General features: G+C 37.3%; 1 protein-coding gene across 2 annotated transcripts in view, besides 2 other annotated features; it reads right to left on the bottom strand.

The window, feature by feature from the left end:
• Window positions 1-26,866, bottom strand: part of CWC27 (CWC27 spliceosome associated cyclophilin) — a 249,846-nt gene that overhangs the window by 70,755 nt on the left and 152,225 nt on the right. The window lies entirely within an intron of this gene.
• Window positions 7,127-7,669: an enhancer, noted in NCBI's record as "H3K27ac-H3K4me1 hESC enhancer chr5:64236167-64236709 (GRCh37/hg19 assembly coordinates)". NCBI's record gives its function as "activates a minimal SCP1, AML or CMV promoter by ChIP-STARR-seq in naive H9 embryonic stem cells {active_cell/tissue: H9 hESC(naive)}" and the evidence as "EXISTENCE:reporter gene assay evidence [ECO:0000049][PMID:30033119]".
• Window positions 7,670-8,213: an enhancer, noted in NCBI's record as "H3K27ac-H3K4me1 hESC enhancer chr5:64235623-64236166 (GRCh37/hg19 assembly coordinates)". NCBI's record gives its function as "activates a minimal SCP1, AML or CMV promoter by ChIP-STARR-seq in naive and primed H9 embryonic stem cells {active_cell/tissue: H9 hESC(naive and primed)}" and the evidence as "EXISTENCE:reporter gene assay evidence [ECO:0000049][PMID:30033119]".

The following is a 26,866-nucleotide window of genomic DNA, read 5'->3' as shown; positions in this document are numbered from 1 at the left end:
TACCTGAGCACTTAGCAGAACTGACAAGGACCATAATAAATGCAGGGAATTAAAAGATTGGAGCTTTTGATTAAATCTTTTCTGATTTGACACAACTAAACTGATCACATAACACAGAAGGTGATTCAGTGTGGTTGACTGATAATGCCCAAAATGAACATCTATCCTTTGGAACAAAATGATATATAAGGCTCTCCCTAAAGTCCTTTCTTATATTCCCTGCTCCCCAAAAACATGTAATGCCAGATTTCTTTCTACAAAGAGGGGAGGCCCATAGGAAATATTTCTGTCTGATACTTCTTTTCTCTCTTTCTAGAAGATCACCATTATGCTGAATGAGCTGAAATTAAGCATGCCATATAACATTTTGTAAAAGTGAAGCTTATCCAATTCTGTTAATAACTAGTGAAATGGTACAGATAATAACAGATTGTGGACATACTGCTTATATTCTGATTAGACTTTTAGCTTATTAAAATGATGTTTACATAAAGATCTTATACAGAAGCTTAATTATTAACCATTTTGTCAATGAAAACCAGAAAACATACACTCTCATCCAAAGGACTCAACTATTATCAGACAGATGCTGATATATGCATGGGCAAGTATCACCACCAGCACTAAGGTACAGCCAAGTTAGACTAGACTGCAGGCAGGCTAACACAGGAGCAATAAGAATGCTATTAGCCTGCTCATTGGTGCTTGAATAGTGTGTATGCATACCAGCCCCCTCATCTTTTATGTTAGTAACAGCTTTATCTGATGGAACAGTGTTGACAGAACTTGAACTGGTGCCAACCCTACTGATGAGAAACAAGGTGGAACAGTTGCTGGCTGGAGGGAATGTTTCCTTTTTAGGAAGCAGCAGTAAGACGATACATGGAAATATGGTTGGAATAGACTATAGCAGGTTGCTGATACAAGAAATGTTTTAGTTTTCAAAAAACAAAGGATCAAAGAAAGCCAAATAAATGGCCAATAGATACAAGAAGGTGCTCAGAGACAGATGAGAAATGCAAGTCTAAAGGAAATAATAACTGGTCACATAGACCTATGTACTAGGCTGAGCTGAGCTCTGGTTGGTGTTAAGATGCTGTTTGGCTCTTTTTCATCAGGCAGATTAACCATTAGAAGAACAGTAATGACAAAAATGTTAAGTCCTCATCAGCTGCAAGGATTGACTACTTACCTTGCCAATCAAAAATCACCTTTAACCTAGGATGCCAATATAAAAAGCACATGGAAAAGAAATTGTCTAATTACAGGAAAGAAGTAAAACTTGACAGGTAATTTTCTATAACTGGAAAAGCTAATACGGGTAAATGGAAACAGTAGTTTCATTAATAAACATCTCAACATAGATGTATTCATTCTTAAGGCCCAGATGAATAACTCATCTGCCTTCATCTGCTCCATCTTCTAGTTCCATTTAGAACATGAAGGTAGCCAGTCTTTTTGTCACTGAACAGTGAATCTGAATGCCCATCACACTATTCTCCAAGTTTTGTGAATATGCACATCTATTTTATCCACAATGCAATGATAAGTGATGTCCCTGGTATCTACCAAAGGTGCCACAAAATCTAGAAATGCATTTTGAAATGTCAAAGAGAATAAATTGCATTCAATATAGTTTTAGTGCTAGATATATTATTTGCTATATGCATTACATAATGTGTACACATTTGTGGTATATGTCTCTGTATATGTACATAGCTAATATACTAGCATCTTAGCTCACCTGGCTACTTTAAAGAATTCCTTCTAGGTAAAAGAGTTTACAAATATCTTTTTCTATCACCTAACAAAATGCTAACAATCATGCCTCCTCACTTTACTCAATTGATTAAAAATTACAAATCTAATTAGCATTTTGAGTAATTTGACTGCTTTTGGCTTAAACAGTTGCTGGAGGAGATAACTTCTGGTTGGGAAAAGATGGGAATGATGTGGGCAAAATGTGGAGAAATCTGATAGCAAAGCAACATATTCTCTATTCTGCTCTATTAAAAGAATATACTGGCAGTAAATAAGATATCAATAACAAACTTATCAATTATTATGAAAGTTGGTTGATTCAAGATATAGAAAAAACCCAGAATCTTAAATATGCAGCAAGTTTCTTTTTCATTCAAATGACAGGTTAAAAAACCCCACTAACGTCAATTCATAATCACTTTTCTGAAGGTAGGTTTCGTCTCTAAGCTCACATGAAGGATTATACAGTATTCTACAAAATATCATACTTCATATTGACTGTTACCATTATGGAAAGAGGACTACAGTTGCTGTCAGGCAATCTAGGTCCTATCAGCTCTGTTAGTGCTCTTGGGGAAACATCAATTACTTCTCTGAGTCACAACTTCTTTGTGCAAAATACCTGTTATCCTACCTTTCTCATGGGCTCTTGTCAGAGAGAAATGAGAGGAAAAGGCAGGGGAAAAAATAAGTTTTTCACAAGTATGAACTTAGACACAGTAGACTGCCCAAGTAATAATTCTTCTATCTTCTTTTTTGTTAACAAAAGGAGAAGTGGTTTAGGCAACTTAATGCTCAGTATCAAAGGATGTATTATAAATGTTTTAAGCCTTTTAGAGTTCATCTTTCATTGGTTCACTTATTCAGCCTCCAATTTTATTTTGGAGAATGTCAAACACTGTTATAGGTGTTAGGAAAGCAACAATAAAGAAAACGGACAAAAATTTTACTGGGGAAGGCAGAAAACAAACAACAAATTAATAAGACATATAGTATATTACAAGGTAGTAACACAAGGAACAAAGTGGAGAAGAACAATTTGGGAGTGTCAGGTAGAAGTGGTCAAAGAAAGTCTCATTGAGAAGGTGACATTTGGGAAAATACCTGAGAGGTAAGGGAATGAGCCATGTGAACATCTGGAGGAACCACAGTCCAGAAAAGGTAACAGCATGAGCAATGGCCCTGAGGCAGGGAACATGCCAAATGTGTACTCAGATAAGCAAAGGGGCTACTGTGCCTAGAACAGCATGAATGAGAGAGAAGTATAAGGAGATGAGATCAGAGAGGTAAACAGAAGGGGAGAGAGTACAGATTTTATAGAGTCTACTAGACAAACATAGAGGCTTTAACTTTTAAGAAATCCATTGGTGGGTTTAAAAAAAAGAGTGACAAGATCTGCCATATTTTTAAGGGACCATCCTGGATACTATGTTGAGAATAGACTTTCAGAGGTCACTTGTAGAAACAAAGAGATCAATTATGAAACGACTGCACTAATCTACACGGGAGATGATTGTGGCTGACCAGGTACTACCAGTGGAAATTGTTGGCCTACAGATCCTGGATTTGCTGATCAATTTGATGGGGTAGAAAAGAAAGGGGAACAAAAAACGATTCCAAAATTAACTGAGACAGGGATGATTTCAGGAGGAGCAGGTTTGAAATATAAGATCAATAGCTTAATCTGGGACATGTTAAGTTTCAGATGCATGTTAAACACTTTGGAAATTATTAGCAATAGATGATATGTAAATCCATGAGATTTAAAGATGTTTTCAAATAAATTTAGTATAAGAGAGAAAAAACTAGAGGCCAAGTAAACAATAATTCAAGGAGGAGGGAGTGACCAACAGTGTAAAATCTGGTAATAGGTCACTTAAGAGGGCTAAGCAGTTGTGTGTGAACGGAAGTCTAACTGGAGTAAATTTAAGAGTAAACAGGAAAAGGGGAATTGGAGATGACAAGCATGTATATTTCTTTAAGGAGTTTTTTTCTAGAAAAGGAAGCAGAGCTAAAGGACAGTAGTTAGAGGGGGATGTGGAGACAAGATATACTTTTTTTTTTTAATGAAGAAATTACTGCATGCTTTCATAATGATGAAAGAGCATGAAAATCCAGTAAGAACAGAAATTTGATAATACAGGACAGAAAGAAAAGAACTGTTGGAGTAATGTCCGCAAGTAGGTGATGGGGGCGTGCGGCAGGATCCAAGGCACAAGTGGAGGAGTTGACCTAAGACTACAAACAGCTCATCCTTAGTTATAGGTGGGCAGGCAAGCACATGGCACAGATGCAGGTGAGTTGGTAGTTATGGTAACGGTTTTCTTCTTGTTGCTCAGACTTAAGAAATTCCACTCTTTGCCAGCCAGTGTTTGGTCCAGATCACATGTTTGAGGGTTCTGGGAAAGATTTTCTTTCCTATGAAAAGAAAGGCCCAAAAGGAGAAAGCCCTTTTGCTTCTAATTTTTCCTTCCTGTTTTGGATGCTTTTCTATGAAGATGTGATGCTTAGAATTGGTGCAGACATCTTATGACCATGAGAAGAAATCTACGATGTGCTAGGAACTTTGCAATATAGGTAGAATGTAAGGTTCATGGGGCAGAGGTATTTATATTCTTACCTGATGTATCCAAAATGTCCAAAAGTGTGCCTGGCACATAGTAGACATTGAATAAGTATTTGTAGAATAAATGAACTACCACCAAGATGTGCCATGTTTGTCAGAAACTCATAGTGGTATATACCAGCATGTAAATAGATTATTATACTTTCATGTTGTAAATGGCAAGATAAGGGTAGTACAGAACGCTAAGGGGCTGAGGCAGATTTAGCTACCCTTGCCTTTGAAATGCAAGGAACTTCACTGCATACTGTATAAAAAGCAGCATGCCATTGTTGGAATGTTTTTAAAATGCTTTGTTCCCTTTTAGTATTTTCTGATAATTTCTTTAATTCCTTCATAAAAATAAATGGAAAACAAATATATGTTATAAATCCTTATATCTTTCCTTAGTAACACACACAGGGCCGTGATCTGAAATAACATTTGTTTTATTCGTTAACTTCATTTTTTCCCTTGTCTCCATCTTTTTTTTCACCTAGGAGTATAATCATACTGATGAAACATTTTACCACTGCTATCACCAGTTTTTATTGAAAAGCATACCTGATGCCCTGTTTTAAACATTTAAGACTTTCAATGTCTGCTTTTTTCTTTAGGAGAGTTATATTTCTATGTTCCATGCCAGCATTCTCCCCTCTCCCCATTCATTTTAGCAGATATCATTATCTTTTTCTTCTGGAATCATTTTTGTATACCTGAGTACAATGAGCCTCTTCACCACACAACAGAAGATAAAGTATTTACAATTTTATTATACAGGCACACATGTGGCATTATATGCACAGGCATAAAATTAAAGCTGAAGTGTCTAAAGTCCGGAGTAAAGCCATATTTATGCTGCTCAAGGCAAGAAAAATTATTTAGTCTACAGTAACGAGTAAGTAGCAGCAGAACAAATATTTGGTTGACTGTGGAAAGCCAATGTTTTCCTTACTCGTTACAAGCAAAAAAGCTAAAAACAGGCTGACCAAGCACATTCTGACAGAAAATAACACATGTATTCATCAATCTTTTGGTGCGTATAAAACTGTGATTCCTAATTTATGGATTTATATGCAGAGGGGGTACATCCAGGTTTGCCTTAAATATATTATACATATATATGTGTGTTTTCATATTGGCCATTTATTTTAAAGAGATCTATTGCAATGTTTTTCTTTTATCTTTTTTTTTTTTTTTTTTTTTTAAAGAGATAGGGTCTTGCTCTGTCACCCACGCTTGAGTGCAGTGGCATGATTATAATCATAATTCCCTGTAGCCTTGAACTCCTGGGTTCAAGTGATGCTCTCACCTCAGCCTCCTGAGTAGCTACAACTACAGGTGCATACCACCATGCCCGGCTATTTTGTTATTTTTATTTTTGTAGAGACGGGGGTCTTACTATGTTGCCTGGGCTGGTCTCGAACTCCTGACCTCAAGCATACTCCTGTCTCAGCCTCCTAAAATATTGGGATTATAGGCATGAACCATTGCACCCAGGCAATATTTTTCTTTATTAGTATAAAATAAAGCACTTCCTGCACTCAAAAATGCTTTAATCTCATATAATATATTCAACATGTAACATTTATTAACAAATTATTTATCTACTCATGTAAATAACTGCTTTGATAATCTGCAAAATAGTTATAATTTGCTGACTGCCTGTCATGCCAAGAAGTCTATAATTGGTGATTTTTGTACATTATTTAATATAATAAATTTATTTATTTATTATTACTCTCATCTTACAGATAAGGAAACTGAGGCTCAGAAATGACCTGCCCAAGATTTCTCAGCCTCCAAATTGGAGCAAGTAATGAAGCCCATATCTATCTGATATAGCAGGATTCTCTGAAATCATACTCCTGATAGTGTGGCAGAGGGGCAAAAACACCTCACAAGTGTAAGATTTTACATTTAGCAATTTAACGTCCAATCTCATTTAAAAAATGAAAGTGTAAAAAATATGATTTCTATACTTCTATACACATATGTTCAGAAAATAAAAAGGAATGGAAGTATATTCTGTGGTGGCTATTGTTAGGTGAGAATAAAGGTGATTTTATTTTCTTCTTTTTGTTTTATGATAAATTTTTTCTGTAATAAATGTTTTATATTTTCTGTAATAAATGTTTTATATTTCTGTAATAAATATGTTTCTGTAATAAATATGTAGATAAATTTTTAAATAATATATTTGCCTGAATAAAAAAAGTAGCAAAGAAGCAAGTATTCTCACTATTGGAGAACAAAGTTAAATATGGAAAGGGGCAAAGACTAAAATGTGCCCTGCAGTATGGTACTGTACTTAGACTACCAGTATATCTTTTAGCTGTTTACTGAGAGAGCCTAGAAGCAATAGGATTGAGCAATCTAGCACCCAGATCTTGATTTTCTAAATATGATTTTCCTCTTAAAGAAACCAGAGCTCCTTAGGAAAAAGGGTGATTTCTGGGCTTGGGAAATAAACTATAATATAAACCTAGAACAGCTTGTTAAATCAGAAAACAAGGAAGTGCTCAAATAATAGGAACATATCAAAATAACATGGGCCAGATCACTTGAGGTCAAGAGTTCAAGACCAGCCTGGCCAACATGGTGAAACCCCATCTCTACAAAAATACAAAAATTAGCCAGGCATGGTGGCACATGCCTGTAGTCCCAGCTACTTGGGAGGCTGAGGCAGGAGAATCGCTTGAACTCAGGAGGCAGAGGGTGCAGTGAGCCAAGATCGTGCCATTCCACTCCAGCCGGGGCGACAAAGTAAGACTGTCTCAAAAAAAAAAAAAAAAAAAAAAAAGAAAGAAAGAAAGAAAAAGCCAGCTTCAAGGAGCTCCCACTGGCCAAGTAAAAATGAAATAAAATAATTTATTTTGAGCATCAAAAGAAATAATGGTAAAAGCAGACTGTGACTCATAAAATAAGATTCCAAGAGTTTATATTGACATAATAAATAAATGGAGAACAAAGGAAAGCCCTTTTTTAGAGTGGAATGCAAAACTATAAATATAAAAGAAATGATGGAAGTAGAAAATCACTGGTGAATACTAAAACTAAGGTGCAGGTGGTAGCTGGCAAGATGGCTGAATAGGAACAGCTCTGGTCTGCAGCTCCCAGCAAGATCAATGCAGAAGGCGGGTGATTTCTGCATTTCCAACTGAGGTAACTGGTTCATCTCATTGGGACTGGTTAGACAGTGGGTGCAGCCCACGGAGGGTGAGCCGAAACAGGGTGGGGCGCTGCCTCACCGGGAAGTGCAAGGAGTCAGAGAACTCCCTCCCCCAGCCAAGGGAAGCCCTGAGGGACTGTGCCGTGAGGAACGGTGCCCTCCAGCCCAGATACTAAGCTTTTCCCACAGTCTTCGCAACCCAAAGACCAGGGGATTCCCTCTGGAGCCTACACCACCAGGGCCCTGGGTTTCAAGCACAAGACTGGGTAGCTGTTTGGGCAGACACAGAGCTGCAGGAGGTTTTTTTTCATACCCCAGTGGCACCTGGAATGCCAGTGAGACAGAACTGTTCACATGCCTGGAAAAGGGGCTGAAGTCAGGGAGATAAGTGGTCTAGCTCAGTGGATCCCACCCCCACAGAGCCCAGCAAGCTACGATTTACCGGCTTGAAATTCTCGCTGCCAGCACAGTAGTCTGAAGTTGACCTGGGACACCCCAGCTTGGTGGGGGAAGGGACGTGTACCATTACTGAGGCTTGAGTAGGCGGTTTTCCCCTCACAGTGTAAACAAAGCCGACCAGAAGTTAGTACTGGGCGGAGCCCAGTGCAGCTTGGCAAAGCCGCTGTAGCCAGACTGCCTCTCCAGATTCCTCCTCTCTGGGCAAGGCATCTCTGAAAGAAAGGCAGCGGTCCCATTCAGGGGATTATAGATAAAACTCCCATCTCCCTGGGACAGAGCACCTGAGGGAAAAAGCGGCTGTGGGTGCTGCTTCAGCAGACTTAAATGTTTCTGCCTGCTGGCTCTAAAGAGAGCAGCGATCTCCCAGCACAGCACTCGAGCTCTGCTAAGGGACAGACTGCCTCCTCAAGTGGGTCCCTAACACCTGTGCCTCCTGACTTGAAGGCACCTCCCAGCAGGGGTCATCAGAAACCTCATACAGGAGAGCTCCAGCTGGCATCTGGCGGGTTCCCCTCTGGGATGAAGCTTCCAGAAGAAGGAACAGGCAGCAATCTTTGCTGTTCTGCAGCCTCCACTGGTAATAACTAGGCAAACAGGATCTGGAGTGGACCTCCAACAAATTCGTGCAGACCTGCAGCAGAGGGGCCTAACTGTCAGAAGGAAAACTAACAAACAGAAAGGAATAGCATCAATATCAATATTAACAAAAAGGACGCCGACAAGACAACCCCATCTGAAGGTCACCAACATCAAAGACCAAAGGTAGGTAAATCCAGGAAGATGAGGAAAAACCAGCACAAAAAGGTTGAAAATTCCAAAAATCAGAACACCTCTTCTCCTCCAAAGGATCACAACTTCTCGCCAGCAAGGGAACAAAACTGGATGGAGAATGAGTTTGATGAATTGACAGAAGTAGGCTTCAGAAGGCGGGTAATAACAAACTCCTTTGAGCTAAAGGAGCATGTTCTAAACCAATGCAAGGAAGCTAAGAACTTCACAAAAAGGTTAGAAGAATTGCTAACTAGAATAAACAGTGTAGAGAAGACATTAAATGACCTGATGGAGCTGAAAAACACATCACGAGAACTTCATGAAGCATACACAAGTATCAATAGCAGAACCGATCAAGCGTAAGAAAGGATATCAGAGATTAAAAATCAACTTAATGAAATAAAGCGTGAAGACAAGATTAGAGAAAAAAGAATGCAAAGGAACGAACAAAGCCTCCAAGAAATATGGGACTATGTGAAAAGATCAAACCTATGTTTGACTGGTGTACCTGAAAGTGATGGGGAGAATGGAACCAAGCTGGAAAACACTCTTCAGGATATTATCCAGGAGAACTTCCCCAACCTAGCAAGGCAGGCCAACATTCAAATTCAGGAAATACAGAGAACACCACAAAGATACTCCTTGAGAAGAACAACCCCAAGACATATAATTGTCAGATTCACCAAGGATGAAATGAAGGAAAAAATGTTAAGGGCAGCCAGGGAGAAAGGTCAGGTTACCCACAATGGGAAGCCCATCAGACTAACAGTGGATTTCTCTGCAGAAACCCTACAAGCCAGAAGAGAGTGGGGGCCAATATTCAACATTCTTAAGGAAAAGAATTTTCAACCCAGAATTTCATATCCAGCCAAACTAAGCTTCATAAGTGAAGGAGAAAGAAAATGCTTTACAGACAAGCAAATGCTGAGAGATTCTGTCACCAACAGGCCTGCCTTACAAGAGCTCCTGAAGGAAGCACTAAACATGGAAAGGAAAAACCGGTATCAGCCACTGCAAAAACATGCCAAATTATAAAGACCATCGACACTATGAAGATACCGCATCAACTAATGGGCAAAATAACCAGCTAGCATCATAATGACAGGATCAAATTCACACATAACAATATTAACCTTAAATGTAAATGGGCTAAATGCCCCAATTAAAAGACACAGATGGGCAAATTGGATAAAGAGTCAAGACCCATTGGTGTGCTGTATTCAGGAGACCCATCTCATGTGCAAAGACACACATAGGCTCAAAATAAAGGGATGGAGGAATATTTACAAAGCAAATGGAAAGCAAAAAAAAAAAAAAAAAAAGCAGAGATTGCAATCCCAGTCTCTGATAAAACAGACTTTAAACTAACAAAGATCAAAAAAGACAAAGAAGGGCATTATATAATGGTAAAGGGATCAATGCAATAAGAACAGCTAACTATCCTAAATATACATGCAACCAATACAGGAGCACCCAGATTTGTAAAGCAAGTTCTTAGAGACCTACAAAGAGATTTAGACTCCCACATAATAATAGTGGAAGACTTTAACACCTCACTGTCAATATTAGACAGATCAACAAGATAGAAAATTAACAAGGATATTCAGGATTTGAACTCAGCTCTGGACCAAGCAGACCTAATAGAAATCTACAGAATCCTCCACCCCAAATCAACAGAATATACATTCTTCTCAGCACCACATCACACTTATTCTAAAATTTACCATATAACTGGAACTAAAATGCTCCTCAGCAAATGCAAAAGAACAGGAATCATAACAGTCTCTCAGAGCACAGTGCAATCAAATTAGAACTCCAGATTAAGAAAGTCACTCAAAACCACACAACTACATGGAAACTGAACAATCTGCTCCTGAATGACTACTGGGTAAATAACAAAATTAAGGTGGAAATAAATAAGTTCTTTGAAACCAATGAAAACAAAGACACAATGAACCAGAATCTCTGGGACACAGCTAAAGCAGTGTTTAGAGGGAAATTTATAGCAGTAAATACCCACAGGAGAAAGCTGGAAAGATCTAAAATCGACACCATAACATTACAATAAAAGAACTAGAGAAGCAAGAGCAAACAAATTCAAAAGCTAGCAGAAGACAAGAAATAACTAAGATCAGAGTAGAACTGAAAGAGATAGAGACACAAAAAACCCTTCAAAAAATCAATGAATCCAGGAGCTGGATTTTTTTGAAAATATCAACAAAATAGACCACTAGCCAGACTAATAAAGAAGAAAAAAGAGAAGAATCAAATAGACACAATAAAAAATGATAAAGGGGATATCGTTACTGGTTGCACAGAAATACAAACTACCATCAGAGAATAATATAAATACCTCTATGCAAATAAACTAGAAAATCTAGAAGAAATAGATAAATTCCTGGACACATACACCCTCCAAAGACTAAACCAGAAAGAAGTCAAATCCCTGAATAGACCAATAACAAGTTCTGAATTTAAGGCAGTAATTAATAGCGTACCAACCAAAAAAAGGCCAGGACCAGAAGGATTCACAGCCGAATTCTACCAGAGCTACAAAGACGAGGTGGTACCATTCCTTCTGAAACTATTCCACAAAATAGAAAAAGAAGGACTCCTCCCTAACTCATTTTATCAGGCCAGCATCATCCTGATACCAAAACCTGCAGAGACACAACAGAAAAAGAAAATTTCAGGCCAATATCCCTGATGAACATTGATGTGAAAATCCTCAATAAGATACTGGCAAACCAAATCCAGCAGCACATCAAAAAGCTTATCCACCACGATCAAGTCAGCTAAATCCCTGGGATGCATGGCTGGTTCAACATAGGCGAATCAATAAACGTAATCCATCACATAAACAGAACCAATGACAAAAACCACATGATTATCTCAATAGATGCAGAAAAGGCCTTCGATAAAATTCAATAGCCCTTCATGCTAAAAACTCTCAGTAGACTAGGTATTGATGGAACGTATCTCAAAATAATAACAGCTACTTACAACAAACACACAGCTAATATCATACTGACTGGGCAAAAGCTGGAAGCATTCCCTTTGAAAACCAGCACAAGACAAGGATGCCCTCTCTCATCATTCCTATTCAACATAATATTGGAAGTTCTGGCCAGGGCAATCAGGCAAGAGAAATAAATAAAGGGTATTCAAATAGGAAGAGAGGAAGTCAAATTGTCCCTGTTTGTAGATGACATGATTGTATATTTAGAAAACCACATCATCTCAGCCCAAAATCTCCTTAAGCTGATAAGCAACTTCAGGAAAGTCTCAGGATACAAAATAAATGTGCAAAAATCACAAGTATTACTATACATCAATAATAGACAAACAGAGAGCCAAATCATGAGTGAACTCCCATTCACAATTGCTACAAAGAGAATAAAATACCTAGGAATACAACTCACAAGGGATGTGAAGGACCTCTTGAAGGAGGACTATAAGCCACTGCTCAAGGAAGTAAGAGAGGACACAAACGCAAAAACATTCCATGCTCATGGATAGGAAGAATCAGTATCATGAAAATGGCCATACTGCCCAAAGTAATTTATAGATTCAATGCTATCCCCATCAAGCTACCATTGATTTGCTTCACAGAAATAGAAAAAACTACCTTAAATTTCATATGGGACCAAAGAAGAGGCTGTATAGCCAAGACAATCCTAAGCAAAAAGAACAAAGCTGGAGCCATCATGCTACCTGACTTCAAACTATACTACAAGGCTACAGTAACCAACACAGCATGGTACTGGTACCAAAACAGACATACAGACCAATGGAATAGGACAGAGGCCTCAGAAATAATGTCACACATCTACAACCATCTGATTTTTGATAAACCTGATGAAAACAAGCAATGGGGAAAGGATTCCCTATTTAATAAATGGTGTTGGGAAAACTGGCTAGCCATAAGCAGGAAACTGAAACTGGACCCCTTCCTTACATCTTACACAAGAATTAACTCAAGATGGATTAAAGACTTAAACGTAAAACCTAGGACCATAAAACCCTAGAAGAAAACCTAGGCATTACCATTCAGGACATAGGCATGGGCAAAGACTTCATGACTAAAACATGAAAAGCAATGGCAACGAAAGCCAAAATTGACAAATCAGATCTAATTAAACTAAAGAGCTTCTGCACAGCAAAAGAAACTACCATCAGAGTGAACAGGCAACCTACAGAATGGGAGAGAATTTTTGCAATCTATCCATTTGACAATGGGCTAATATCCAGAATCTACAAGGAACTTAAATAAATCTACAAGAAAAAACCAAATGACCTCATCAAAAAGTGGGAAAAGGATATGAACAGATACTTCTCAAAAGAAGACATTTATGCAGACAACAAACATATGAAAAAAAGCTCATCATCACTGGTCATTAGAGAAATGCAAATCAAAACCACAGTGAGACACTATCTCACGCCAGTTAGAATGGTGATGATTAAAAAGTCAGGAAACAACAGATGCTGGAGAGGATGTGGAGAATTACGAATGCTTTTACACTGTTGGTGGGAGTGTAGATTAGTTCAACCATTGTGGAAGACAGTGTGGTGATTCCTGAAGGATCTAGAACCAGAAATACCATTTGACCCAGCAATCCCATTACTGGGTATATACCCAACAGATTATAAATCATTCTACTATAAAGACATATGCACACCTATGTTTACTGCAGCACTATTCACAATAGCAAAGACTTGGAACCAACCCAAACGCTCATCAATGATAGACTGGATAAAGAAAATGTGGCACATATACACCATGGAATACTATGCAGCCATAGAAAAGGATGAACTCATGTCCTTTGCAGGGACATGGATGAAGCTGGAAACCATAATTCTCAGCAAACTAACACAGGAACAGAAAACCAAACACCACATGTTCTCACTCATAAGTGGGAGTTGAACAATGAGAACACATGGACACAGGGAAGGGAACATCACACACCAGGGTCTGTTGGGAAGTGGGGTTCTAGGGGAGAAATAGCATTAGGAGAAATGCCTAATGTAGACGATGGGTTGATAGGTGCAGCAAACGATGGTGGCACATGTATACCTATGTAACAAACCTGCACGTTCTGCACATGTATCCCAGAACTTAAAGTATAATACAAACAAAACAAAACAAAACAAAAAAACTAAGGGTGAAAGCTTGATAAGGAATGATATATTTACATAATCTCAAAACATCTCTCTATAACTATACTTTCTGCATTATCTTGGATTGAATCCTGGAATGGGAAAAAATAACAGCTATGAAGGACATTATTAGAATAAAAGACAAAATTTGGACTTTGTAAATTACTTAACAGTGTCAATCAATGTTTATATAAGAGAAAGTCCTTCTTTAGGAAATATACACATAGGTATTTAGGGTAAAGACCTGGTATCACTAAGGTACCTTCAAATAGTTCAAGAGAAAAATGTATGCATGTGGCTAGGCGTGGTGGCTCACGCCTGTAATCCCAGCACTTTGGGAGGCAGAGGTGGGTGGATTATGAGGTCAGGAGTTTGAGACCAGCCTGGCCAATATGGTGAAACCCCATCTGTACTAAAAATACAAAAATTAGCCAGGCATGGTGGTGCATGCCTGTAGTCCCAGCTACTCAGGAGGCTGAGGCAGAAGAATAGCTTGAACCTGGGAGGTGGAGGTTGCAGCGAGCCGAGATCGCGCCACTGTACTCCAGCCTGGGTGACAGCGAGACTCCGTCTCAAAAAAAAAAAAAAAAAGAGAAAGAAAAATGTATGTACATATGTATACAAACATACAGAGAGCAATGCAATGTGCAAATATTAAAAAATGTAAATGACTGGCAAATCGAGGTAAAAGATATATGAGTTCATTGTACTGTTTTCTGCAAGTTTAAAACTTTTTTCAAAACTAAAAGTAACTATCTCTTCTGGATTGAATAGTGTGGAAAGTCAGTTTCTCTAAACCTTAAGAAATGGGATTTAATTCTATTAAATATATATCATGATCAGCTAATTTATAAGACCCTATGCCAGCTCCTACAGATCAACTAGAGCAGCAATTCTCAGAGTGTGTTACCCAGACTGGATCTGCAGTATCAGCACCATCTGAAAATGTAAGAGTTGAAAAATCTTCCATTTTACCCAAGATCTATCTGTGTTCCACTGATAGAATACAGGCAGTAATAGAGGATAAGATGGTCAACAACTTGAAAGCAAGATTATGGAGAAAAATCATAGATGATTAGATAATTTTACACTTAATTTAATATACAATAAGACAGTTCTAAAGGTTTGTGAAAAGAGGAATAATAAAATAACTATATTAAGAAGATCACTTAAGTAGCAGTGTATAGATGAATCACTTCTGGGAGATTTCAGAGAAAAAGATCAGTTTAGGTTTTTTATTATACTGTCAAAAAAGGATGTGATACAAACCTGGAACTAGAATAGGACAGATGAGAGATTCTACAATGGGTGAGTAAATAAGACTTGCCAATTGGCTGAATATAGCAATACTGACAGAGTAAAGAATTGGGAATGGCAGATTGGGGAAGAGGTGAAGAAGAGACAAGAACAATGAAAGGTTATAAAGCCTGGATGGTTGATTGAACTGTTTGGATCCAGAGGAATTCATGAAAACCTCCTATAGCTGGGCATTTTAAAGACCAAGGATCCCAGCCCTATAATCCTGTAAAAGCATGTTCTTCTAAACAATGTCAAGTAAGGAAGTGGTGATTTCAGCCTTATGATTCTATAAACCATGTTCCTCTAAACAGTGCCATGTAAGGAAGTGGTTTTCAGACTTTTAGATTTTAGAGGTCTGTAAACATCCCAAACAAAATTTAATGGATGAGTTGCTTTTTAATTTTACAAGTTAAGAATTAAAAAAAAAAAGTCCTATTGGCCATTGAGATTATAAATTGGTAATAACCACTTTGGAAAACAAAATGGCAATATCTGGAGGAGTTGAAGGTGTGCATACACTCTACAGGTTTGTTACATCTGTTGAATCAGGGCTCTGACATTTTCTACCTGTGGGATTTTGGACAAATTATTTAACCACCCTAAGAACAAGAATAATCTCAGTTTCTTCAACAGTAAAATGTTAATAATAATAGTGTTTACTTATTGTTTTAAAGATTAAATAAATTAATACATATAAATCACTTAGGAGAGTTAGTAAACATTATGTATCATAATCACGATAACTACCCACACCCAGCTATTCCAGTTAAAGACGTACCCTAAAGAAACTCTTGTTTGTGTACACAGAAGTGTACAAGGATGCTTTCTGCAAAATGTTTAAAATAGGAAATATATAAAAGGAACCTAATGTCCATGAACAGGAGAAAAGCTGGAATATGCATTCAATGACTACTATAAATCATTTAAAATAAATATGTACTACACATAAAAACATTGACAAATGTCAAAAGCATAATGATAAAAAAACAAGGTGTAATTGGATACATACCATTTGATACCACTTTTATAGAGTGGCATAGTAGCAATATTATTATTTTTAGTGGCTATATACACATGCAATAAAGGATTAAAAACATGTACAGGAAGGAAACATACTTCTGAGTCGTGAGTAGTTTTGGGAAGGGGGAGAAATAAAATTGGAAAGTATACAGGGGACTTAAGCTATATTTGTAAAGTTTAGATTTACTTTAAAAAATGTAAAAAAAATTAAGATTAGTTGGGTAAAAAAATGGGTTAAGTCCCTTTACCTTTCTGTATGTTTAAAATATTTTATAAGATAAAAAAGAAAAATGTAAAAAAAAGAGTTTATCAATTTAAATAAGTTTTAAAAACTAATTTTAATATTTCTATTTTGAAATAATTTTAAACTTACAGAAAAGTTAAAGAATAATATTAAAAACTCATATCTTTCTACCTAAATTCACCAGTTCTTAACATTTTGCCACATGTTTTATTATTCTCTCTCCCAGTGCATAAATATATATTAATTTTTTTCTCAATCATTTGAGACTAGGTTGCATATATTATGGCCCTTTACTCCTTAATACTTTAGTTTGTGTTTCATAAGAACAAGAATAATCTCTTAAGTAACTATAGTATTTCAAATTCAGGTATATCAAGTTCAGAAAATTTCATAGTGATGCAATACTTTACTACACCATCCATATTTCATTGTGTCAAGTTCCCCAACCATGTCCTTTTTAGTATTATTTTTTCCTTTGTTCCAGGATCCAGTCCAGGAGCATGTATTGCCATTTAGTTTTGATGTCTCTGTAGACTCCTAAGCCTTTCTTTTTATTTCACAACATGGACATTATTGAAGAATACAAGACAGTTGTTTTTCTAATAAAATATTCCTTAATTTGGTTTGTCTCATGCTGTCTCATGATTAGAGTCAGGTTATGCAGCCCTAGGCAGAACACACAAGTGATTGTATGTTCTTCTCAGGGTACTGTTAAGAGACATATGGTGTCCATACGCTTCTCATTGTGGATGTTAATTCTGATCAGTCAGTCAAGGTGTTTTACGGTTTCTCTATTACAGATCAGTGTGCAACTAATAAGCAATTAGTGGGGAGACAGTTTGTGATCATGCCAATATACTGTTCTTCATCCAGCATTCCCTCTAGATTTAGTATCTATTGATCATTTTTGCCCAAACTAATCTTTACTATGACAATGGTGATTTTCCAATTCCACCACTCTCTTCACATTTATTGTTTGTTATCTTACTGTAAGGAGACTTTCCTTCTCTTCTAAGTATTCATTCATTCATTCAGATCCTCATGGATTCATGAATTCCTATTTTTCTACCCAATAGTTCAAATTTTTTTTATTGGTTTCAATGATTGTTTTTTGCACTTTTTATCAAGATAAAATTCACGTAACATGAAACTCACCATTTTAAAGGGTGTAATTCAATGATTTTTAGTATAATCACAATGTTGTAAAACCGTCACCACTATAATTCCAGAAAATTTCCACCACCCCTTAAAAAAAAACACTACCTGTTAGCAAAAATACCATTAGCAATCAGTCCCACTTCTCATTTTTCTGCATTCCCTGGCAAATACTTACTTTCCTTCTTTCTCTACAAATTTGGATCTGCCTATTTTGGACATTCCATATAAATGGAATCATATAATTCATGGTCTTTTGTATTCTGGCTTCTTTCATGTAGAGTAATGTTTTTAAGCTTCATCCATGTTGTAGCATGAATCAGTACTTTATTCCTTTTCATGGCTGAATAATATTTCACTGTACGAATACATCACAGTTTGTTTAGGCTGTTTTGTCTGGGTTGTTTCCCTTTTTTGTTTATTGTGAATAATGCTGCTGTGAATATTTGTGTACAAGTTTTTTTTTTTTTAAACACTTGCTTTCAATTCTCTTGGTATATATCTAGGAGTGTAACTGCTGGGTCATATGATAATTTTATGTTGAAGTTTTTGAGGAACTGTTAAACTTTTTTTCCAAAGCAGTTGTACCATTTTACAATACCATCAGTAATGTATGAGCTTTCCAATTTCTCCACGTCCTTGCCCATACTTGTTGGTTCCTCCGTTACCTTAAAAAAAAATTATAGTCATCCTACTGGGTGTGAAATAATATCTCATTATGGTTTTGATTCGCATTTCCCTGATCGCTAATGATGCTGAGCATTTTTCATGTGCTTATTGTCCATTTGCATATCTTTTTCAGAGAAATGTCTATTCAAATGCTTTGCCAATTTAAAAATTGCATTATCTTTTTATTCTTGAGTTGTGTGTTCTCAATTATCTGAAACCCAAGTAATTCCAGATTTAACAGTGGAGGAGAGGCCCTTTCAAGATGGCTTCTAGGTTGTCTTGATGTGCCACCATCATTTTCAGGAGCACTCTTCCGCCCTCTCCCCACCCCCCTTTCTTTTTTTGTAGAACAGGTGGTCTGGTCTTGGGAATCAGTCATTTCTTCAAATTACCCTGGTTCCTTTCAGAGGGAAATGGTGTTAGAAACCAAGATCTGGGTGCTAAATGTACTCATTGCCACTGATTCTTTGCTTTTAAGTCCCTTCAGCAGTCAGAGGTAGGATATGCCTAAGAAATCATTAAGTTCATTCAAACCCAATCCATCCACATATACCAATCCATTCCCAAAAGTTTTTCCTCATCTTCCCTCATTCCACATTTTTATCTCCTTTCTTCTATAATGAGAACCTTGGCTCCCTACAACATCAACACATGTATTATTAACTAACTAAACTTTACCATATACATAAAATAGTTTTATAATTAGTATGTCTATAGTACTACAAAAAAAAAAAAGACAAAGCCTACTGAGAAAAGTTCAAGATTTGTTTACTGTTCTTTCCACATCCCTTGTGGAATAACATAATCAAATTTTTTCTTTTACCTCCCAGCAGTGTAACATTACTTATTTGAAACAAACTTGGATTTATTTGTTTCTACTTACATTCAGTTTTAGTTTCTCTTTCCTTTCCATGCTTGTTAATTTCTAAAATATTTAGAACAGGAATACATTTTTAAAAGACAAAACTACAAAAAAAGATAAACTCAGGTATCATTGCCTCCCTATCACTTCTACCTCTTCTCTATGCTGCTATTCCTTATAAAAATAAGCAACTTAATTATTTTCTGGCTTATCATTCCCATGGTTTTTCTGCAAACGTGTGTGTGTGTGTGTGTGTCACACTTTGTTGTGCACTTGGCTTTTTTCCCACTTACTTACAAAGAATAAAAAAATTAAGATCCTGAAAAGGCATTTTCTCAGATCACTAAGGAAGTGGTTAAATTATGACTTTTCCCCTAAGTTTATTTGAAGTCTTTAGCCTGCAACACAGAGATTGCTAAAAGAAGAAGAAAACTTTTTGACAATTAAAACCAAGCAGACTTGTCATTATCTAACATTATATTGTATACTTAAGTGAGTTTTCAACTGTTTATTTCTGCTATTGAAGAGTAAAAAAATGTATTTCAGAGAAGCAACTGAGATCCCTACATTGTAAGCTTAAAGAGTCAATGGTGATAAGAAAAAGAATCAAGTTCCTTAAGGGAATATGCAGACTGAGGAAACACAGTGAATGTGGGTGACTGTTGACTTTTTTTTTTTTTTTGAGAAGGAGTTTCACTCTTATCACCCAGGCTGAAGTGCAATGGCGCGATCTCAGCTCACTGCAACCTTGGCCTCCCGTGTTCAACTGATTATCCTGCTTCAGCCTCCCAAGTAGCTGGAATTACAGGTGCCTGCCACCATGCCTGGCTAAATTTTGTATTTTTAGTAAAAATGGGGTTTTACCATGTTGTCCAGGCTGGTCTCGAACTCCTGACCTCAGGTGATCCACCTGCCTCCGCCTCCCAAAGTGCTGGGATTACAGGCATGAGCCACCGTGCCCGGCTGACTGCTGACTTTTAAAAGAACAATTTCATTAAGGTTGAGAAGTTAATAATCTAGAAATCCAAAGAAATGATTAGGAGTTGTGGACAATGATTTGGGACTACTCTTCAGCAGTAGGTTTAATAGTGGAAGGCAGAGTTTGCAAGGGAGCACACAGACACAAGGATAAAAAAATTCTTTGAGGTCAGGGAAGAAATGAGCAGGGGTGAGGCAGAGGGGAAAAAGCAAGAGGATACAGACAGACTTTTGCAAAAGAAGGAGAAGGGAAAGTTCCTGAAGATGTGGAAAGTGGGGTGGGTGATTAGCCTTAAGAAGAACTAGGCACCCTGCCCTGAGACAAAAGACAGGCTGGAGAAATGTGTGGGGAAACAGAAGTTTGGTGGTAGAGAAGAGTAAAGCTGAAGAAGCTCATGTTATATGGCCTTTTCAGAAAAGTAAGGATGAGGCAATCTGTGAAGAAGAGGGGCAGGAGGCAGGGCTGGCACTGGAGAAGTAAGGCATGGAAAATGCCTGGCACAGAGAGGCCATCTGGAGAATGAACAATATAAACGTCACCATCTATAGTGGAATTTATTCAGCTTTGAGAGTTTAGTAATGTAATGTATACTTATCTAAGTTAAAATTGGTGATGTAAATAATAGTAAACTCTTGATTTTTCCCTATTTTAGTAGAATACTTGCCAGATTTACTAAATGATGTAACTGTTCTGAAACTGTTGGAATCCTATTATTGAACTAAAATTTTTCAGCTTTCCCATAAAGTCACAAATAATAATACATCAACCTCAACTAAAACCTGAATTTTAAAAAAATATAGCACATGGTAAATCTGGATTAGAAATATGTACATTTGTGATGATATATACACATTCTATTAAATGCATTATTTTAAACTAGTGATGATAATAACTATTTAAAGAATTCTATTCACTTTTGCAACCACCTAATAGAACAAACTGAATTGAAGTTTAATTTTCCATAAATATTGCTATTACATAGTAAAACTCACCATTGTTTAGGAACAGTTTTTAGGAATGCTTCTTGATTTTCAGGGCAAACTAAAGGAACCCACCTGCTCATAGTAGGAAAGTTAAAGAAGCTGAAATAGCACTGTCTGGGAAGAAAGTAGTATTTTTTTTTCTCTTTATTTGAAGTCTGCCCCAATAATGTGTTTTCCAACACTAATCTTACAACACAGAGATTTTAAAAACACATAAACCAACAAACATACATTCTGGCAACTAAAAACTAGAATTGCCATTATTTAACATTACATTTTTTATTTACGTCTTCATTGACTGAATTCATTCCAAGCCTGCTGGAAGGAGAATAGATACTTTCTCGTGCCTTGAAAAATGCGTAGAATATAATATAGTAAGCATTCAATAAATATGGATTAATTAACAGAAAGTCAAATACAAAATCCTAATGTACAGCAAGCAAGCCTGGGCAAAATAGGTCTTACTGATATGACTGAAATCTGTATTGTGGATTACTGAAAATTGGCTATATGTTTGGCTTACTAGATCAGTATTAAATATCTAAGATATATGAGAGTCAAGAATTTATAAAATTCCTTATTAAAGTAAGGTTAAAATTTTGTCTTGAGTAAAATATAGGGGTTTAAAATTTCATAAATAATGTGTATTTAGTTGAAATTAGGTTTAATTCAATGAAATACTTATTGTGAGCCTTCAGAGTTTATGATACAGATTGATGCAGAAGATTAATACAAGGCAGAATGTGGTAAGTAGCAAAGAAAGTTCACTGGGATAGCCAGAAAAATGTCTTTTAAAATGTATGTCTGATGCTGGGAGCTAGAACTGAAGATTGGTGAATCATCTTTCAAAAGAATCAGCAACCATATCTTTTGTGGGATTTTGGATAGGATCTAAGGTAGTTTAAGAAAGATTCATGAGGTGAAGGTGTTTGAGATGGTACATGAAGGACAAAAATCCCATAAGCAAAAATAGTAGAAGGTGCTCAGGCCAATGGAATCACAAAAGCAACATGACACACATAAGAAAGGGTGGGAGTATAGTCAAGGACCCATCAGAATAGATTGGGGAGAATATGGAATCTGTCTGGGGAAGTAATGGAGGAAAAGACTTGAAATACAGATTTTACTGCAGAACTTGAGGACTTTGTATACATGTAAAAACTGATTTAATCCTTCTGAAAATCATGTAAAGTTGGTATTACCATTGTGATGAACACACCTCTCCCTTTATCCCTAATTCCACGTGACTCTAGTCGTGCTGCCTCTATCTTTGGCTTGATAAATGGCACGTGACTCAGCACTGGCCAATAAGAGCCTTTAATTTCCCAGCTATAGTAATTGATTCAGAAATAGGCACATGATAGAATAATCAACAATGAGATGCTAAGAGATTTTTGTTGAGACCTCTAGGACTAAGGCGAACATTCTTCTCTACTGGATTAGAATCTGGGAAGACATGAGGAGTTGCTTTGACTATTCAAACCCATGAAAGGGAAAGCATGACTCAGAATGGAACAAATAAGGCTGGGTATGTGGAGGTTTGGGTGAAGATGTGTAAAAGCAGAATCAAGTGATGCAGACAAAAAGAGGAAATTCAGGTCTACTTGACATCATTTTAGCCTCTGACAAAGGTGTGCCTGAAATCAGTTCTACCTGTAGCCCCAGTGTAATCTTTTCAGCATAAGCCTGATTAGCCATTTGAAACTGTAAGATTCTTAACTGACAGAATATCATTCCCATTTACAAATAAAGAAACTAAAGGTTAGGAAAAATATAATTTGTCCAAGATCACATATGTTTTAAATAACAGATTTATTGCTTTAACTCATATTAGATGACTTCAAGCCCATGTTGCTAACTACACATTTCTTTATTTTGTGAATTTTCGTGTGTGTGTGTGTGTGTGTGTGTGTGTGTGTCTAAGAAAGACAGAGAGGGAAAGAGTACATCAAAATAACTTTGGTTAGTTTCTTTCGGTATATAAAAATAATAACTACCACTCATTAGCACTATGCTAAATGCTTTACATAAAATTTCTATATATGCCAATCATTAACAGCTTGTCCATACTCACTTCTAATGGAATCTTTCTTGTCCATAACTGCTGTTCCCTCTATTAGCCTCAGAAGCTGGCCAAGGGTGGCACATGAGCCATGTGTGCTCACCAGGGACTATAACGTGGTAGCCAGTCAAAATATGAGCTAGGCCAATTGGATTCCTTTCTTGGAAATATGAACTAGTTGGTGGTAGCAAAAGGATGTGCACATTTAGATTTGGGGTGATAATTTGACACCAGGAGCTACACAGAATTCTATAGGAGGATAAAAGAAGACTGCCGTTAGAAGGAAGAGGCTGCTGCAGATATACAGAAAGAATCAGAGATGCAAACAGAGACGTAGATTACATAGCTTTGCAAGGAGTTCAGTCTCAGATTCTGATCACATTTTATATTTCTACTCTTTGGTTTCTGTCTTTTGGTATTCATGAGATTCCAATGCATGCTTAGAAGAATCTCCCCTTTACATAAGCTAGCTTGAAGGGTTCTTGCACCATGAAATCAATAAAGTACAGACTAGAACAATATATCATTTTAGTGAAATATGATAGCAACCCATGAGGTAGTTATTTTCAAGATAAAGAAATAGGTTCAGAGAGTTCAAGTAAATATCCCAAGGAAACAACTAGAATGAGATGAAGCTGGGAGTAAAACCTAGGTTGATGTATCTTAACTCCACATGTATAAGACTAACTGGAATAGGGATATACCAGAGACAAGGAAACCAATTAGGAATTAATTACAGTATTTTAGGAAGAGATGGTGAGTGATGCAGTTAGAGCAATGGATGAGTTAACAGAAGTGAAGAAGTGGGTAAAAAGTGTATAAGATTGTCTATAAGGGTAGGGATGAGGGATAGCAAAAAAGTGAAAGAAGCCAAAGATGACACTAAAAAAATTTAATTTGGCTGATTGGAAAAAGAGTGGTACAACTAGTAATAGTAGTAGGGATTCAGGTCTGGGAATTATTATTATGAAGAAGAAAATACAGTTAATTTGGGTCGCTACTGGTTTTAAGGAAACTTTAAAAAGAGAGCTGAAAATGTTAGCTTGAAGCTAGAGTTAGAAAAATGAAATTGGGAAATATTTGTAAAGAAGTGACCTCACGGAAGTCTTTTCAAAACTCAGTAAATCAATATATAGCATGAATACAGATTTTAAAAAATTCAGATGTCAACTGGGAGAAATAGAACAAAGACGGCCGACTAGATACAGCCAGGAAAAACCTCTCCCATTGAGACAGACCAGAATATTGAGTAAACTAGCATAGTCCACACAGACCCTCTGACAGATGCACCGAGAGAGGTTAGAGAGATGACTCAGACACCAGGACTGAAGAGGGAGGAAGCTGGAAACCCCACATGAGGTTGCTGAGTGCTGAGATGCATCTCAAGCCCTTAATGGCTCCTAAGGAAGGGGTGGCTGTGATCTGTGTAAGCTGTTGGACCTGGAGGGAGCCCGACTGTCTTTCCCAGTCCTGCTGAGACAGGTCTGATCTGTACATCCTGTTGTCCAGTGGCCCCTCTCAGAGTCTGGTCTTGGCCATGTCTGAATGCAGCACAGCCTCAGATATCCTGCCAGAGTGCTTTCGCCAGTGACTACCACAATAGTGCTTTTACTGGAGTCCCCCACTGCCCCACCTCAGCACTTTTGCTGACAGCGTCCTGCTGGAAAGTGTTCACCTCTGACCTGCCACTGCCCCTTTGAAGTACATTTGCACCCCTGCTGCAGCACCTCCTACCTGTGGCACCTCCATCAGAGCACTTATGCACACAGCACCCTCAACAGAGTACTGTTGCCAGCAGCCTGAGAACATCTGGCACCAACAGCCCAACTGGGGCTTAACCTTGAGAGATGAGAGGGCAAAGCCATGGACCCAGTCCCAGCCACCCAGGGTTAGAGCACGCAGCCCAGGAGTGTGAAGCTGAGCCCGCGCCCTCCAAAAGCATCCAGAAACGAAGTCATTTAACTTTCCTAACTTGCACCACAGTCAAACCCTCAAGGACAATGAAGATCATAAAAATAAAAAGCTCTATCCAAAGGAAAACAACTTCAAAGGATAAAGGAACATCAGCCCCCACAGATGAGAAAGAACCAGTGCAAGAACTCTGGGAACTCTAACAGTCAGAGTGTTTTCTTATCTCCAAACAATCACACTAGCTCCCCAGCAATGGTTTTGAACCAGATTGAAATGGCTGAAATGTCAGACAGAATTAAGAATCTGAATGGCAAGGAAGCTCATTGAGACACAAGAGAAGATTGAAACCCAATCCAAGGAAAACAGTAAACTGATACGAGAGTTGAAAGATGAAATAACCATTTAAAGAAAGAACCAAACTGAACTTCTGGATATGAAAAATTCACTACAGGAATTTCAAAATACAACAGAAGCATTAACAAAATAGACCAAGCTGAGGAAAGAATCTCAGAGGTTGAAGACTGCTCCTTTGAAGCCACACAGGCAGACAAAAATAAAGAAAAAAGAATGTAAAAAATGAACAAAACCTCTGATAAATATGGGATTATGTAAAAACACCAAACCTATAATTCATTGACATTCCTGAAAGAGAATAAGAGAGGGTAAGTAATATGGAAAACATATTTGAGGATATAGTCCATGAAAATGTTTCCAATCTCACTAGAGAGATTGACATTCAAATTCAAGAAATTCAGAGAACCCCAGTGAGAAGCTATGTAAGACACAGTCATGAGATTCTCTAACTCAATGTGAAAGAAAAAATCTTAAAGACAATTAGAAAGAGCAGGTCACTTACAAAGGAAACCTCATCAGGCTAACACCTTTCAGCAGAAACCTTACAGGCCAGAAGTGACTGGGGGCCTATTTTCAACATCATAAAATAAAAGAAGTTCCAACCAAGAATTTCATATTCTGCCAAACTAAGCTTCATAAGCGAAGGAGAAATGAAATCCTTTTCAGACAAGCAAATGCTAAGGGACTTTGTTACCATTAGACCTGCCTTACAAGAGGTCCCAAAGGGAGTGCTACATATGGAAACAAAAGAATTCTACTTGCCACCACAAAAACACACTTAGGCATGTAACCCACTGACACTATAAAGCAACTATACAATCAAGTCTACATAACACACAGGTAACAACATGATGAGAGGATCAAATCCTCAAATATCAATATTGACCCTGAATGTAAATGGTCTAAATGCCTCACTCAAAAGGCACAGATTGGCAAGATGGATAAAGAAGCAAGACCCAACTGTCTGCTGCCTTCAAGAGACCTATCTCAAGTAGGATTACCCATAAGCTCAAAGTAAAAAGAGAAGGATCTACCAGGCAAATGGAAGACAAAAAAGAGAAGGGGTTATTCTGTACTTAAACTCGACGCTTAACCAACTGGTCTTAATAGAGATCTACAGAACACTCCACCCAACAAGACCAGAATATACATTCTTCTCATCTGCACATGGGAGCTACACTAAGACTGACCGCAAGCTAGGCCATGAAGCAAGTCTCAACAAATTAAAAAAAAATCAAAACCATACTAACTACACTCTCAGATCACAGAGCAATAAAAAAGAAATAGATACCAAGATGTATCAAAACCATACACTTACATGGAAATTAAACAACTTGCTCTTGACTGACTTTTGGGTAAAGAATAAGACTGAGGCAGAAATAAAAAATTATTTGAAACTAATGAAA

The sequence above is a fragment of the Homo sapiens genome, chromosome 5, assembly GCF_000001405.40.
Source record: "Homo sapiens chromosome 5, GRCh38.p14 Primary Assembly".
Taxonomy (NCBI): Eukaryota; Metazoa; Chordata; class Mammalia; order Primates; family Hominidae; genus Homo; species Homo sapiens.
This window is presented reverse-complemented; position numbering and strand designations above follow the sequence as displayed.